The sequence below is a fragment of the Homo sapiens genome, chromosome 2 (genome assembly GCF_000001405.40).
Source record: "Homo sapiens chromosome 2, GRCh38.p14 Primary Assembly".
Classification (NCBI taxonomy): domain Eukaryota; kingdom Metazoa; phylum Chordata; class Mammalia; order Primates; family Hominidae; genus Homo; species Homo sapiens.
Genome location: NC_000002.12, coordinates 107,406,748 through 107,424,421, shown reverse-complemented (window position 1 = coordinate 107,424,421; position 17,674 = coordinate 107,406,748). Strand labels below are relative to the sequence as shown.

At 37.2% G+C, this 17,674-nt stretch overlaps 1 long non-coding RNA gene across 1 annotated transcript in view; it reads left to right on the top strand.

The window, feature by feature from the left end:
• Positions 1–17,674, top strand: part of LINC01885 (long intergenic non-protein coding RNA 1885) — a 159,884-nt gene that overhangs the window by 118,150 nt on the left and 24,060 nt on the right. The window contains exon 3 of the long non-coding RNA NR_183423.1: positions 7,639–7,727. This is a non-coding gene — a long non-coding RNA (long intergenic non-protein coding RNA 1885). The remainder of the gene's footprint in view (positions 1–7,638; positions 7,728–17,674) is intronic.

Here is a 17,674-nt window from a genome sequence, read left to right as displayed (position 1 = left end):
AGAGATTCTTATATTATCCATTTTGTTTATACTACTACCTACAAGCCAATCAGTACAAATGTCAGTTCCCACAAAGGTAACATATTTGCTCTCCAAGTGACAAAGACAAACTGTGATCAGAGCTGCAGATTTGAAAGGCTCTGAGTGAATAGATGTATTCCTTTCCTTAAGAGTGTAAATCTAAACTTCTCACATTGATGCATTTGTATTTTTAGACATGTTCCAGAATACAAACTTGTTGATAAAAGCCTATTTTTAACTTTTACATAGGATATGCAGGTATGAAAATAACAGGAAAAAAGTTATTCCCTATGAAGAGATTGCTAGGTGTTTCCTTTCTTACTTTCCAGTACTCTTTTTTATCGTTTTCAAGAATGAACCCTACAAAAACATATTTGAAAAGTCAGTTTCAACTCAGTCTCTGTGTTCAAAAGATGAACTTTTTAAAAAGTTCGACAACCATGGGCATGGCTAAAATCTATAGCTGAGGGATGATTTGTATTCTGAAAATGTAACATAAATCAATCAATCAAGGCATTATTTCAGAAAATGGCCTCTTACTTTTTGGGAGGTAATTCAAATTATGGTATACAATCAGAAGCCTCTAAAACCCCATAAAACATTGTAGTTACACTACTGAGCCCAGGCACTCCTTCTAAATGTGTCAATCCTGGCTCCAGTATTGCCCAGTTTACCAGTCATTGCAGAGGGATTTGTTTGGCATTGGGTGCTGCAGAAACTAAGAAAAAATATAGTATCTTCCAGCAAAGAAGGCATTTCCCAGATTTTACAATAAGAAAGTCATCAGAAAGATGGTGCTCACAACTCAGCCAGTGATACTGAACAAGCTTCTGATCAACTTTCCACCTGAACTGATGTGAATTTTATGGCCACATATAGATGCAATTTGAATTAGAAATTATATGCATATGAAATCCAAATCACTTAAGATGGGCAGACAGCAACAAATATTATACAGCCAATGTATTATTTGGAGACTGAATGGTTCATGGTGGAAAATTACTTGCAGTACTATAAAAGAGCCCCCTGTGAAGGCACAGACACGTGAGTTCAGGGAGCAGTGATGGGGGGCCCCTTAGGTCAGATGGGAAACCAGGAACCTAACTCTAATTGGAGGGTCTAAGAGCTGCAGCTGGTTGTCCCAACACTGGACTGTAATGTTTCATTTACTCTTATATCAGACTCAATAGATAAAAGTTTCAAAGTACTCCAAAATGGTCTTCATGGAGTTTGACTACTATGGCAATGTTCTCCAGCATTTTACTGCTCACCACCTGCTATGGGCTGACGAGATTGTCTAAGCAGCTTGATCTAGATGCAATCGACAGTCCCCAGGAACTCTTTTTCTAACACTGAGTCATACAACTTATTCCCAACTTTGATGTTCTCCCATCTTAAAGTTTTTAAGTGAGAGGAAGAAAAAGGGCCAATGAAGTGGCCTAGAGAATATTTCTTTTTACTTCTAATTCTGCTTCCTAACCGGCCTTTGAATAAAACAATCTGCCTCCAAGGAGAGCTAGGCCTTTAATTAGTGTTTTGAAATCGTTTTTGAAACCAGGATAATAAGGTTCTAAATTTCCAGCTTTGCTTCTGAACTAAATCCTTGAAATATTTTTGAGTGGTTTCATAATTTCTTTGTTCTCCACTCCTCAGCACTAATTCATTCTCTTTGCCTAAATTACTCTTATTACCTAAGATGCTTTTAGAATTAGGAAAGTGTCTCAGTAGATGTGACTGCAATTTTTAAGTGGGAAGCTCAGCTGACCTCACCTTCCATTTAGCTCATAGCATTTTTTAATGAAAACAAAAAAAATCCACCTTTCATTACTGTTAAAGAGAAAACAGCAGACAAAGCATTAAGACATCCCGACTCCCAGCACAGAGACCCAAATGGCTTCATGTAACAGGTTACAATTCTGTTATCCAGCTTTCTCCAGCCCTCAGATAGAAGAACTGGACTAGTATATTGCCACCTGTATATCTCCTAGAAGTAGACTGAATAATGATCTGCATTGCATCAAGTGCTCTAGATATGCAGTGTTATTTCTAAGCTTCTTTTGAGTTTGCAGTTTATTCAGGTATGCTTTCCTTGAGACACGACCAATAATTATCAAAGCCAAAGAGCAGATAACATTTTCCATGGGCATTATTATGGTACCCAGCTTCTCTCTTCTGGTACCACCCTACAGAATTAGGTGCTATTATTATACCTGTTTTAAATATAGGCAGTATGTGTACATGTAGGAGGGCTGTGGTTTTGCTTTATTGAAACTCCGTTACATCTCCACATTTCTAAGACTTTATGCTGCTGATATTGACAAAGAAATACTACCAAATTCCACATTCTTGCTGTGAACCACAGTTAATTTGAGAACTGAAAATCCCCTAGAATTGTCACACCCAACAGTAGCCACTGGAGATCAGAAACATTCTTCATAAATTATCAACACCGAAAGAGGAAAGGAATTCTTAAATTAATTGCTTTTGTTTATGAGCATTTGCTTCAATATTTTGGGAAAAGAAATTCACTCATTACTTATTAATTACAGAGATTGTTCATTAATTTTGAAGAGAATATGTACCTTTTTAATAGGAATCTAAAAGATTATTAAGAGATCAAATTATTATACTGAGTATAATAACTTGAGTACAAAGATTATTAAGAGTACAAGTTATTATACTGAATTTTACAAGAAGGGGATAGCTGACATCACATACTTCCAGATAAGATACATTGCCACCAACGTGATCTTATTGCCCAAAGTGTTTAACATTAATCTAACCTTAAAACAAATTGGGGACAGTCTAAAAAATTAATTGGCCTTGACTCCTTAAAATGTCAATGGCATGAGAAACAAAATAAGCAAGAAAACTGTCTTAGATTAAATGGTATTAGATGGAATGCAGTAATTATGTCCTGGATCTAGAAAATTAATAGCTGTAAAAGTTATTTCTTGAGAAAACTGAAGAAATATGAATTACGATTTCATATCATATGCTAATATGCTACATATACTATCACCTTTTGATTTCTTAATTGATTATGATGCTAGGGTTATGTACAAGAATATTCTTATTCTTAGGAGACACATTTTTATATGAAGTATTTAATGATCAAGAATCATATCTTTGACTTACTTTCAAAATGATTCAGAACTGCCCATGCATACACACATACCTGAGAATCTGACAGAATGTTAATACTTATTAAATATAAGCAAAGTGTATTTGAGTGTTTATTGTATTATTTTTAGGGGCAAGTTGATCTTATTTATTTTTCATAGACGATGTGGTTTGGCTGTGTCCCCACCCAAAATCTCATCTTGAATTGTAATCTGAATTGTAATCCCCACATGTTGGGGGAGGGACCTTGTGGGAGGTGATTAGATCATGGAGGCAGTTCCCCTATGTTGTTCTCATGAGATCTGATGGTTTTACAAGGGGCTTTCCCCGTAGATTGTGTCTGCTCCCCCTTCCATCATGATTGTGTTTCCTGAGGTGTCATGGAACCTCAGGAACCCCAGCCATGCTGAACCCCATCCACGCTGAAATGTGAATCAATTAAACCTCTTTCCTTTATAAATTACCCAGTCTCAAGTGTGTCTTTATTAGCAGCATGAGAATGGGCTAATACAGACAATAATGGTATATATTTATGGGGCACAATGTGATGTTTTGATGTATGCATACATTGTGAAATAATTAAATCAAGCAAGTTAACATATACATTACCTCACATACCTATTATTTTTTATGGTGAGAACATTTTAAAATTTAACCCCTTGGCAGTTTTGAAATATACCCTACCTTATAATAAAAATACACTAGGGTCATCATACTGTGCAATAGATCTCAAAAACTTACTGAATTATTCTTTCAACTTTTCTGTAGGTTTGAAATTTCAAGACATAAAGTTGGGGGAAAATCAATTACTGTCACTGGTCATTGAATTGAGGAAATGAATGGCAGTGTGTTATTCAACTTTCCGAATCTTTACTTTTGCTCACAGGCTTTGTGGTAGAAAACAAGCATCCCTGCAGTTTAAGACAAGAATGAAGTTTTCTTAATTTTGCACATAAATATGTTTTCACAATTTTGCTATTTTAATCATTCAATGTGTAGGTACAAGGAATTTCAAAGCTTTTAAGATAAAACATTTTTATTTCAGGATTTTTCATCTTAACTGGGCATTAATAGATACTTCAAGAAAACCTACGTGCTGTGCAAAATAAGAAACAGATGCAGTATTTCACAGAAGAGTCAGCACTTACAATGTGCAACTTTGTGAATGTCCAGGGACAGACATTGGTACTTACCAAATTGCATGAGGCGTCAACCCAGGAGCAATTCTCTGCTCATGCACTTAATCACACGTGGGGTGACTTGTCAATACCATTAGTCACAACTTGGAAACTTAATGACAACAGTAATTTATGAGGCACTTATAGAAATAAAAGTCAATTGAAAAATGAATTGCTTTCCTAGTAACAAATGATAAAATTAAGCATATCTATTAGCAAAATGTCTAGGTAAAGGAGGGAACAATAAAATGAAAGTATAAAACATAGCATATAAGATAACTGAAACAGGTGACCTTGAAAGACTGAAATATGGGCCCCACTGCTGTAAAGGCATCCTGTGGGGTTTTTTTTTGTGTGTGTGTGCACATTTTGTGATCTCCTCAAGTTTCTCTACTCTAGCCCAGGGTGGGATGTTTAGAAGGAAGCAGGCTCCAGGTGCTATGGACTGAATTTTGTCCCTGCAAAATACTAACTCCCAACCTGATGGTACTTGCAGATGTGGCCTTTGGGAAGTAATTAGGTTTAGATGAGGTCATGAGCAGGGGGCTCTCATGATGGGATTAGTGCCCTTATAAAAGGAGATATCAGAAAGCTCACTCTCTTTCTCTCTCCACTATGTGAGTACACAGTGAGAAGGTGGTTGTCTGCAAGCCAGAAAAAGCGCCCTCACCAGAACCCAACCATGCTGGCACCCTGGGCTCAGTCTTCAAGCTTCCAGAACAGTGAGAAAATAATCTTGTAGTCATTAAGCCACCCAATGTGTGGTATTGTTGTGGCAACCTAAGCTGAAGGAGACAGCAGATAAGGAAATGCTGGTGATATTTTGTGACAAATGCAAATATCAGCACCTGGAAGAACTACAGCAGGTGGTAAACATTACCCTGTTTTTCATTCTCAGGGCACATATTTGATTATATATGGTGATTAGATTTTGAAAGTTGAGCCTTCCGTTTAAAAAAGACCTTTAGGGAACTTGTCTAATGAAAGGTCATTAAATATTATACTAGTACACAGCAGCCACAGCAATACAAATACCAAAGTGAGCATCCTAAAACAGCACACTGCACATAGGCTTGCAATCTGGCACGCCAACTTTGAAACAAAGCACTCTCCTGTGCTAAAAATAAAACAGTTGTTGGACTGTGTCGGCCCAGAGCATGCAGGGGATTTTTTAGCCATGGGACCTTGAGTATCATTACAGTCCTCTAATTGCTTATTGGCTCAGCAAAGTTAATGAACAGTTGTTCTGCAAGCCCAGGCATTCACTGATAAGCAGTTCCATTATTTCTTATTCCTTGTGAATGAACAGCTGCTGTGATGGCATCTCCATCAAGTTCCAGTGTAATCCCTAACATGAAAGCAGATGCCAAACGTCAGCATTGGACATCACCCCTCCCATTGCACATTTCCTATGGCAGCACATTTATCTCTTCAATGAAAAATCTATGCAGAACTTAATCAAGAACATAAAGTTATGAACTTAAAAAGGTTTTTTTAATTCAAAAATAAAATAGTTTATTTTTTAAGATTTTGAAACTTATAAAAACCCACATACAATTCTCCTGTAATCTCATTAAAGAGAGAAAAGCATTATTAAAATGTGGGTTTAAAAACATCTGGTCTTTTCCAGCATTGACTACTTTCATTACTTTTTAAAGTTCAAGTTTCAATGGACTCAGAATAAATCTGCTTGCATCAGAGTCAAATCATGTAGAATTATTACATTGCAATGAGTAGTTTTCCTGTGCTCTCAAATGCCTCTTCAACAAGGAAGAGGTTCAGGAGCATTTTTTCCCTCTAACTACAGAATTAAGCTTCGAAGCTCTCTCTCAGCCTCTTCCTGGTCAAGGTTATGAGCCCTCTTGAAAACACCTAAGGTGTGTAAGCACAGGAGATATGAGCCTCAGCTCTGACTGAAATAATAACTACCAGTGGGACAGACACTACATTAATTCCTTCTCTTCAGATTTTCTGAGATTGACTATTTCAGTTCTGCAGCCAGAGCCTAGTGAATATACAAAGCAAATAGAATAAACGCAACGAGAAAGCAATATTTTAAATAATGTTCGCTACGTCTGACACTCCTGAGATATTACTTAACTCCTCTCAGCCTGCCATCTAATTTCCTGTCTTAGTGAATGTCAACACCTCCAAACACCAAACATTTGAGTTGGCCAGAAACCTGGAAGGCCTCCTGGACATCTCCCTGGCCCTCATCCTCTCAGGACAGAACCTCACCACCTTACATCACAGTTATCACCTCAACATCACCCACTCTATCCAGTTCCCTTCATCACCACCACCTTGGTCTAAACCGCATCACATCTTACCCATGGGCTGCTTTCCTAACTGGTCCTTTTACAGCTACCTAACCTACTATGCCTTTCAATCTATTTTTACCACCATGGTCAGAGAGTTCTGCACAAAACACACATTTGATCACTTCTCATCCCAAAGAGTGCCCTGTCCACAACTTTCCTGCACCTCTCGCAATTCCCTCCAGCTATGCTGGCGCTCCTGCAGCTTCATTCACCTCCATGCTCTCTCTTCCTTCAAGGACTGTACACATGTTCCCTCTGTAATTCTCCTCTCTCACATCTTGACCTCACCTCAAACAATACACACTCTGGAAAGCCTTGCCTGACTCCCCAGCCTGGATCAATTCTCCCTATTTAGTAGACTCTCAAAAAAGAAGGGAGTCTCCTTCTAAGTAGTTTACATCTCTGCGGTTACTCATTCATTTGTGTGTTAATCTGGCGAATGTCTAGTTCACCCACTGGTCTATGCATTTCTTAAAAGCAAGGATAATTACTGTTCTGTTCAGTTTTGTTTCTCACCATAGTATCCCACAGTTATATCATAGTCTCTGGCACATAGTAACTGCCTAATAACACTGCTTGGCTCAGCACACGAAGAGTTTCATGAATAATAAATCCAGAAGTAATTATGATGAGAGTTTTGTATATTGCTGAAATATGTGATTGACTTGGTTTAAAAAATGATTTGGTAGAATAATGTTTCTGATTAACATTTTCATTTATTGACTTATCTAGTGGTCTATTTACTTCAAAAATATTTATTTGTAAAAGACAGTGACAAATCCTGGCAAAGGGCGAAAAATGAAGGCTTCTATGAAGCTTGAGCAAAGTAGGGAGGATAAGAAGATACCTATGAAAATATCTCTAATGAGAGGTAGTTGGTAATGACTTCCTAAAAGATACAGACGGCATACCTTCAAAATTCAGAGGCAGAGTCACCAAGTAGAGGTTTGTTTTTTGTGGTTGTTGTTTTTTACGGTTGTTGTTGTTTTTTACAGGTTTGACCTTGGAAGTCCTCATGGAGAAAATTGCATCTGAGCTGGACCATGAAAAATGAGTAGGATTTCAACAGATAACAATGGAAGAGGTAGGTGAGATTTGTTGACTTGTTTTATTTGTTTTCTTTTCTATTTTTGCTGTGAAGAGCCATTTATTAATGCAGTTCGAATTTTTAACACAGGAATTAAGACATTTGTCTAATTCTAGGAAGATGAAGTAAAAGAATGGTTGTTATCAAAACTGCTTCAGGAAATCAAGAAATTATAATCAATGGAGGGAGAGGCACCAGGGTGAAAAACAACATGGGGGAAAAAATGAAACTTTACAATGGAAAACATGTGAAGGCCCTTTAGAAAGTGTTTTCTCAGAAATGAATTCGGGAATAATCGGTTTGCAGGCTGTGCACGTCCAAACGAGATGCCATACTTAGGCCTAAGGTGGGAGCAGCAAGAGTGGAAAGAAAGGGGTGTGTCAGAGAAACACTGTACAGAAATGCACAATGGATTGAATTTGAAAAATTAAAGGGAGGAATTCGAGACTCCTATCCAAAGGCCAGGAGGAAGGAGGTGATGTGAAGAAAAGTTGGAAACTTTGGAGAATGTGTTTGAAAGGTGGAGAAACAGCTTTTACTTTCATTTTTGGCAAGTTGTAGCTCCCCTCATCATTTCTGCAGCCGGTTGAGAGACAGGGCTCTCCTGTGAAGGTTAGGTGGACTTTTGGTCCAGGAGAGACTAGTCACAGCTCCAGGGTTCTGCAGGCCATAGCATCAGCACTACCCCAGGCCACACAGCTGGCTGTGATGATTGATGTAGGAGTCCCCTGTGAGTCTAGCAGTCCAGAGAGAAAACCAGGCAGATGGGGTATTCGTTGTGGCACCACTCATGAAATTCTGCCTCAGTGGGAATGGAGTTCCTCAACCTTCACTATGCATTGCATTCAAATTTGGAACTTTTTGTTTTTTTCTTTGAAATGGAGTCTTGCTCTGTCATCCAGGCTGGAGTGCAGTGGCACAATCTTGGCTCACTGCAACCTCCGTCTCCCAGGTTCCAGCGATTCTCCTGCCTCAGCCTCCTGAGTAGCTGGGATTACAGGTGTGTGCCACCATGCCCAGCTAATTTTTGTAGCCTCATGCCCAGAGATTCTGATTCAGTTAGTCCAACGTGAGGTCTACAAATGAGATTTTTTAAAATAAGTGTCCCATAGAGTCATGAGGATCGATTGTGAAGAGGTTTTCATAGAACTATTGAGCCATGAACTGAAAAGAGATAAACGGACACCATCTCTAGGCCAGGACTTAGGGACAGATGAAGACAGAGAGCGCCTCATGACTTTTCTATCACTGCATCCTACTCATGTTTCCTGCTTAACACTTTGCACAATTTATAATTAAGTATTTATCTTTTTATTCATTGTCTGCCTCTCCCATTAAACTGTTACCTACATGAGATCTGGGATCTTGGTTTTTTATTAACCACACTAGGTTTAATTAGCCTAGTGACCACTGGCCACCTGGCACATAGATGATATAAATATTTAATGATGGATGAATGGACAAATCCAATTAATTACCTAGCTATGAAGAGGTAGCTCTGCATAAGAACATTATTCTAGGAGGTAATAAAATTCCCTTACAACCCCAGGCGCTGAAGTGAATAGCTGTAGATTGCATTTATAAGATGGACCATCTGCCCAGAATAGAAAGAATTTGTCATGCATTGATCTCAGCCAATCAGCCTCAAAATGTATTCAGGTGCATAATACCTTGATGCCATGTTGATCATTAGCATAAAGCAACTTATTCCTTTTTATGTTCTAAGAAGACAGTTTTCTTGCAAAAAAAAAATGTAGCTCCATGTAATATGTATCTCTTCATCTTAACATTTTTAGTACACATTTTTAAGAAATCACATTTAAAGGAAAAAAGGATTGTCTGTCAATTTATTTCATAATTACTGCTGGAAGGCAGATTCAGAGAGAAAGAAGACACTGAGAGCTTTTAAATAATGGTAAATGGAAAGCTTAAAACGGAAAAGTGTTTATCTGTTTTCTTTTCATTGAAAAATTTGAGAAAACAAATCACTTTTGAATTTAACTTGGTGCAGCTTGTTGAACAGGGTTGTTCCTCCTTAGGATGATGGAGGGAGACCTACTGATTCACCTCTGTGAGCTCATTGTCGTTAGCCACATCCTGCGGGACTCTCAAGAGAGGTACTTTACAGGCAGAGATCCAGTGTGGGACAAGTCCATTTGCCCTTCCTGTTTGGATCTGATGCTGGTTAACAGGCCTAGCTACACCACAAGGGGATAGGAAATGTAAGTCTTGTCTAGATGAACACTGAAAGAAAGTCCTCTGGATGAAGCTGGAATTAGAGTCCCTAACTTTAGTTTTAACCGAGTTACTCTTTATTCTTTCTGCTCTGTAGACTCCATGGCCTTAAATTTTTAACGAGTTTCATGTATGTGAGATTATCAACTATAGATCTGTCAAAATACACTCTTAATACCTTTGCATTTCAGTTGTTTCTGTTAAAAAAGTAACGCGTGGATAAGTTATAAATACTGCTAAGCTTACTGACTTCGATGTTCATTTTCAACTAAATGAGTCATGATCTCCAAAGGTATTGGGATGTCACTGGGCATCTTTTTTGACTTTTTTGTTTTGTTTGGAAAACCAACAAGAAGTAATTTTTGAGTTCTAGAACAATGTTTCTCAAGCTACATATGCTGAAATGACAGTATTTAAATTTTCTTTTCACTTATATAAAATATATAAAAATGAAATTTCTGGAAAAAATTAAAAATATAATAAAACATCATTTATTTAGTAGATTCAACAGATGGAAAAATTACTCTCAGTTATTTAAATGGCTGTAAAAGTTTCTTAGGCTCATTTTTTTGCTTATCTTGTCTCAGAATGGTGACAGTTTGTACACCAGCACCAGGCCATAGGCCACACTTTGAGCTGCACTGTGCTAAAACACCTTCTAGAATCAAGTGAAAACACTCTTGTGGAAGCATGCTTGTGTTTAAAAAGAATTAATTTGTGGCATTCTTTAGCTGTTACAGAGAAACCTGTTTTCACATTTTCTTCTTTATCTGGTGGTTTTTACATCATAATCCCAGATTTAGCTCTACAAATTGCTAATCAAGAGCAATGATCTGGAGAGTTCACTGTCTGCCAACAAAGATGTAACACTCATGGCAGAAAATGTTGTAAATTTTTTCAGATAGCTTTTTAGAAATTCCTAATTCATTTTCCTTCTACTATTTCAGTGGAGCAGAACATCAAATATTCTTAAGTAAAATAAAGAGTCAGAACATTTTGTTTGATCCAGATTTATTTTACCATACTTGCAAAAAATGATCCCAGTCATTTTTCATTAAGTGTGTTGGCTTGGGGGCAGGGCACTGTTGCTTGTCCAATTAAGAAAGATTTAGCCTTTATGGCTTTATAGGTCTGCATAGCCAATGTCAAGAGGCAGATTTTGAAATAGGCTGCGACATTACTCATGGTCTAAAATACCAAGCCAAATAATTCAAACAAATTTCTTTTTTGACTGAGTAATATTTAGTCAGTCCTGGGGTTTAAAAATAGTTCAAATTTTGACATTATTATGTTAGCTGTTTAGCCCCTTTCCAAACAAGAATGAGTCAGGGACCACATTCATACAGTTGACAAAGATTCCTGGTGAATATATCAAAGAAGATTATATTGAACACTGCCACATCAGTTGGTAAAGTGAAAATGAACCCGTCTCTTTCTCCTAGTATTGCTACCAAATCCATGTAAGTGACAGATGCAGTTACCTCTGATACCCTTAATGGTAGTTACTAAATTTTCTGTATCAACTATGATGATAACACAAAATTTCTCATTGCTACTCACAGTTGAGTACAGTGTTTAGCAGGGAAAAGAAATAGTCGTACACACACACAGATTCTTAAAAATATAACAAATAATACTGCCTGACATTAAGCTTCTCAGAATGTTTTTCTTTCTTTCCCAACTCTCACTGAGAGACTTCTGAGCTGAATGTTAGCTCAGGGTCTAAAACTGAACATCTTTACTATGACACAGAAGACAATGTTCTCGGCTGCAGCTTGCCAGGTTCTCACGTTCCATAATGATGACTGAAAGCACTCTTTGACACAAGAACTTACCAAATATGACTTTGAACATTTAAGTGGGTCATGACCCTAACTTTTAATTTTTCTTACAACCATGAAGATTGAATTTCTGAAAATCCCTTTTCTTAAAATTTCTCTTTCTGAAGCTTATAAGATACTTTTATTTTTTAATAAAAATTACACATATTTCTTTTATGATGATAATACTGCATGTGAACTCTGGAGGCATGAATCACTTATCCTAACACTGTGCTAAATTTTTCCATTTCTCTAATTCCTATTATTCATAGATCTCAGAACTGTTGAATTACTTGAATTTCTCTTTTCCCTGCTCCCTTTCACATTTGGATAAGTTTGGTTAACAATGGCGGCTGATTTTCTACGTTTATATATTGGCAAGTTCAGCTGGAGTTTGATGATGCGAAATTACTTTTTCTCTCTATTTATCAGGGCAAGGAATCTGGTTTGTGCAATCACCACTCATTACCTTATTTTGTCCATGACTTCATCCAGACACTTTTCACAGAACACTATAGCTTTTCTTAGACAAAACTACCCCTGCATCCAGAGGTTTCCAACAGTTATTCTGGTCTGTCAGCTTACAGTGTGTAGGCTATTACTTTACAGTGTATCGAGAGACATTGTTTCAGCTGTATGCTATGTAAGCAGAGCCTCAAGCATAATTAGATTCCTGAAATCCTTTTTTTCAACCTACAAATGTACAGGTTAAGGAAGCATGAGCCCAAGACTGCCCAAAACTCTCAAATGACTCAAAAATACCTATCAGAAACATTTTGCTGATATATTATGTGAACGTATACCTTACCATCCAAACTAGAACACTGCTGTGAATAAAAGGAGCCACTATTATTGAATTAAGACAAGTGTAAACAAGAGCCATCCTGCATGAGCCAGGACATATGGTCAGCCTACAGATCTATGGTATAAAAGAAGCCACAAGATTTATCTACATTGAGATGTATCTACATCATTTACCTTTTATTTATCTACATTATTTATCCTTTATAGCTTTCTAAATCCCATCTTTTGCAGTATTTAAGTAGCCAAATTGCTGCTTTGAAGTCAAAATATAAAGACTACTGAAGATTTCCCTGTTCTAACCGCTGCTAGGTTTACTTAGTACAGCTCCCACTATGCACACGTCATCTATAGTTTGCTAGCCTTATTCTTAGCTTGGCACAGTGTCATTGCCCTGTGTTATGCTGCATACCTTTCCCCTATAATTACCAACTTGGTTTTTTCAAACATCTTGACATCTATTAATATTTTACCTGAGTTAGCCCTTAGCAGAGAGTTCTCAAAAGTAAAAGAAATGCCAAAAAAAAAAAAAAAAAGAAAAAGGTAAAAGAGAAAGAGTGAAAGAAAGAAAAAGGAAACATACAGGGAGAAGAAAGAATGAATGGAGGAAAAGAAAGAGGGAAAGATGGGAGGAGCGAGGGGAGGGAAGAGGGAAGAAAGGAAGAGGAAAGGTATAACTGTGTTTATACAAACATCCACTGTGAGGAGCCCTCTGGAATGATGGCCTCCTGCATAATGTTTTCTGTCAGCAGAACATAATTAAAATAATTCAGAGATAAAATGTTCTTTTTCATAAAGAAAGTACCTCTTTGGAAGGCATTTGAGAAGTTATCTTTTTTTTTAAGAAGACATCATTAATCATTGTAACATTTTCTGTACTAACAAGATTTTAAACTGGAAGTTTTCACCACAAACACTGAATCCAAAGGAAGGTCATCAAAAGACAAGGGCTATAGAACACAAGAGGAAATTGGCAGAGGTTCAATTAAAGAGGACATTGGGTCCTGTGGAAGGATGTAGGGACTCACCCACAGGTAAGGAGCCATAGGTGGGCATATACAGAGAACCTCTTTCAAGCTATGTCTGGATTGAGACATGAAATACCACATCAGTTTGTCTTTATTTCTTGTCTCAGAGCAATGGAAACAAGGCAATTGAGGTAGGATTTAGTAAGCTAGAAAAGGCCCCTGTGTGTAAACAGTGTATATAATACATTTGATGGGAGCAATGCTTGGTTTCTCTTATGTCATATATCTCTAGGTTCAATTGTCTTTGGGTAGAAGAGATGAGGTTTCCATGAGCTAAGAGGCTGAACACCCCAGGGTATTCTGACAAAGTGGCAGAAGAAGAAAGGAATCACTAAAACCAGTTGCCTGCAGAGAAAGCAGGTAGAGAAGAAGCTGTTACATTTGATTGAAAGTTTTTACCAAAAAATAAATAATTCTAGGTAGTTTCACGTTTTCTGAAATATTGAGGTTGGTATAGGATGTTACGACACTGGATATAAATATAAGTGTGTAAATGGTAAAGTGGATCAGAAAAGTCAAAGTAAATGTGAGGACATTTTCCCTATTTTAAAATAATAATGTAACACTTTCCAACTTACTTGTTTCCCATCCTATTGCAATCCAAAAGGATTAAGGTGGGGAAGGAGCATAATTAGAAATTCTTACTGGAACTCAGGTCCTGAAGTCATAAAAGCTCTTCTTATTTTTTTCTTTTGGTCAAAATAAATAGTAATATGGTATTTTTCCCCAAGGCTATCACTATAGCAATATTTTGAGGCAAGCTAAAATTGAGAAGAAATACTTCAATTTTAAATTCTGTGTACTGCAGATAAAGGACATCAGGACATTTCTCAAACTTTAGTGAATATGATAAAACACACTGGAGGTTTGCTTTTTAAAAATGTGGATTCCTAAGTCACCTTTACAAAGATTCTGAGTCTCTAAGCCTGAGATGCAGCCAAGGCACCTGTATCATTAACTTTTATTGTTTCCGGTGATTCTTCTTCAGTCTGCATCAGGCTGACTTCCCACGCCATAATCCTTTGGCCCATCGGACCCATGGACAGCTCCCTGCAGGCCATTGGCACCCACCTCAAGCTCAAAGCTCTAGATTCTCTCTGCACAGCCTAGAGACACAGGGGGGTTAACACTGGAAAGTGACTTTTAAATAATGGAGAATGAAAACCAGTGGGTAAAGCTTCCTGCCTATAGTCCTTTGAGAAATTATTTCAATGCACATTCAACAGTTACTCAGAGGGGTTCTAGTAAGACTAAGCCCTGGGCATCCACCATAGTAACTTTTTTATATCTCTTTGTCCTTTTTCAACAATTCACTAATTCTCTCTATAGTCATGTCAAATCTGCTGTTTAAACCACCCACTGATTTTGCTTGTTTGACCAATTGTATTTTCCTTTTCTGAAAGTTCTCATTGGTTCTTTTCCAAATCTGCCTGCTTATGTTTAAAAGTATTTTATTGCTTGCTAATTGATGTGGCTCCATTCTTTTACATGGATTTCTGACATAGTATTTCTATATTATATGTCTCAACTTGCAATTATCTGAAATCCTTGAAGCCTTAAATCTGGTGCTCTTGTTTCTACTCATAAAGCAAAAAAGTTAGGAGAGATATTTGCCTTCTTTATCAGAAGTAAGTGTCACAAAGTCAACCACTTCATTTATGTTGCTTAACACTTCAGGTCTAACGATGAAAAACCCACATTTTAAACTAACTATATTAATCTAACATTTAGTAATAATTAGGTGACATTTTTATAAACTGCAAAACAAAAGAAAAAGGGCAATATCATTATTTTAAATAAGCTAATTAATTTTGTGACATCCAGTATGTATTTCCAGTCAGATGTCTCATGTTTCAATATTCTAATTCTTCGAGATAGTTTTTACAAAGTTATGTCCAGTGTCTCAAGTCTCTCCTTTGTGCCAGGGCATTGACATCTACATAGAAAGTATTCCCCTAAGTGTTGTGTTAGTACAAACGGCCAGATGGAGAGTAACAGGAAGCAATGCAGCCCAGCCATTAGATTCAGTACTAACATTGCAGGACATTTTTTGAATAAATTCAAAAATTCCCCAGGATGTGGCAATAAAAAAGGACAGGATACTGGTTAAACAAATATGGTTTTGTTAATGTAAAATATTCCCAATGCTTAGCGCTCTGGCTTTCCTAAGGGTCAAGGAAGGCATTAATTATGTGCATTCCTGAACCTAAGGGACCTGAGGGCTTCGTTTTCTGCCTCCTCCTTCTTCCATTTTGTTCCCGTAGAGCTTGGCACCATGCTGGATAAGAACAGAAGAATTATCTCCCTGGTGTTGGACAACAGAGGCTGCTAGCGTTATATCCTTTTACTATCAAATAGCCTTGCCAAAATGAGTTTGGCAACATCCTAACATGTGTCATGTGAGCTACTCCCAATCACCATCCCAAGCTACCCCGAAAATGCCCCATGGTGCCCTTTTGTAAAAGCCCATCACTTTGGCCACACTGCAGAGAAGGAACAAAGCACAGAGGCTCATCATTCCAGCAGGGAGGAGGACTTCTGTCCTGACCAGGTAAAACTCCAGATGCTGCCCCTCTGACAGCCCCCACCCACTCCCACACATGGTGATTAATATGCCCTAAGAGGCACGGTGGAATTTTTAAAAGAGCAGCGAACTATGATGAAACAGACTGAATTCAGGTCTTAGCAATGCTGTTGCACTGTGATTTGGAGATGGTCATTGACCTTTGAATTTCACTTTTCTTATCTGCTAGACAGAGATAATCATTTTTCTCCTCCTGCCTGACAGGGTTGTTTTAAATAGCACAAGATGTTAAATGCATTGTAACTAGAAAGTGTAATACAACTGATTCTTGAACAATGCAAGAATTAGGGGTGCCGAACCCCGCACAGTAGAAAATCCATGTGTAACTTTTTGACTCCCCCAAAACTTAACTACTAATAGCTTACTGTTGACCAGAAGCTTTGGGAATAACAAAAACAGTCGATTAACATAGATCTTGTATGTTATATGTATTATAGACTTTATCTTACCATCAAGTAAGCTAGAAAAAAGAAAACGTCATTAAGAAAATCAAAAGGAAGAGAAAATATATTTACTATTCATTAAGTGAAAGCAGATCCTCATAAAAGTCTTCAACTTCCTTGTCTTCAAATGAAGAGAAAGAGAAAGGGGAGGGGTTGGCCTTGTTATCTCAGAGGTGACAGAGGAAGAAAGGATGAAGGAGGTGGAAGGGGAAGCGGGAGAGGCAGGCACAGTTAGTGTAATTTTATTGAAAAAAAAATCCATGCATACATAGATCCATGCAGTTAAGACCTGTGTTATTCCAAGGTCAGCTGTACAAATAAATTTTAGCAGCTGTTTTATCTGAAAAATACAATAATTATATTATATAATATTACAAAATCACATTATTCCATAATAATGATATCTGTTCCAACAAACTCACAATGTTAGGAAAACCAAAGTCAATTCTGGTTTTGGTTCATTCATTTATTCAAGCAGTGACTGTAACAGGAACCGGGATGAACTTGAATAATCAGAGCTGAAGATTAATGTGGAATTCCTTCTTAAACGGCAAAGCACCATGCAGATGTAAGGTCTTAAAACCGACTCAGAGCCTTGGACACAATTCAGAAGCAAAGTCCACACTGAAAACTCAGCTAAAATCATGCAAATTAACATCTTTTTAGCTTTATGAAAGAAAGATAAATTACTGTATAACTGAAGACTTTCTCCTGGTTATATACTACAAATAATAAGTTAAACATTGTTAAAAATATGTTAAACTATTATTTAAACATTAGTATAATTGGTGCATAATAGTTAACTAAACCACACAATATGACATCCAGAAACGTTCTACTAAATTAGAGAGGGTAAAAACAGTAGATATAACCAAATATTTTAAATTCTACTTTAACATCTAGCCTTCATATGCAAATCAGCAAACATGAATTAGCCTGATGCTCTAAATATGAATCCAAGAATGTGTTAAACAATGGTGCTACAAGAGGTTCTAGGACAGATAGAAAATAGCAGATCAATGCATTCTGTCCA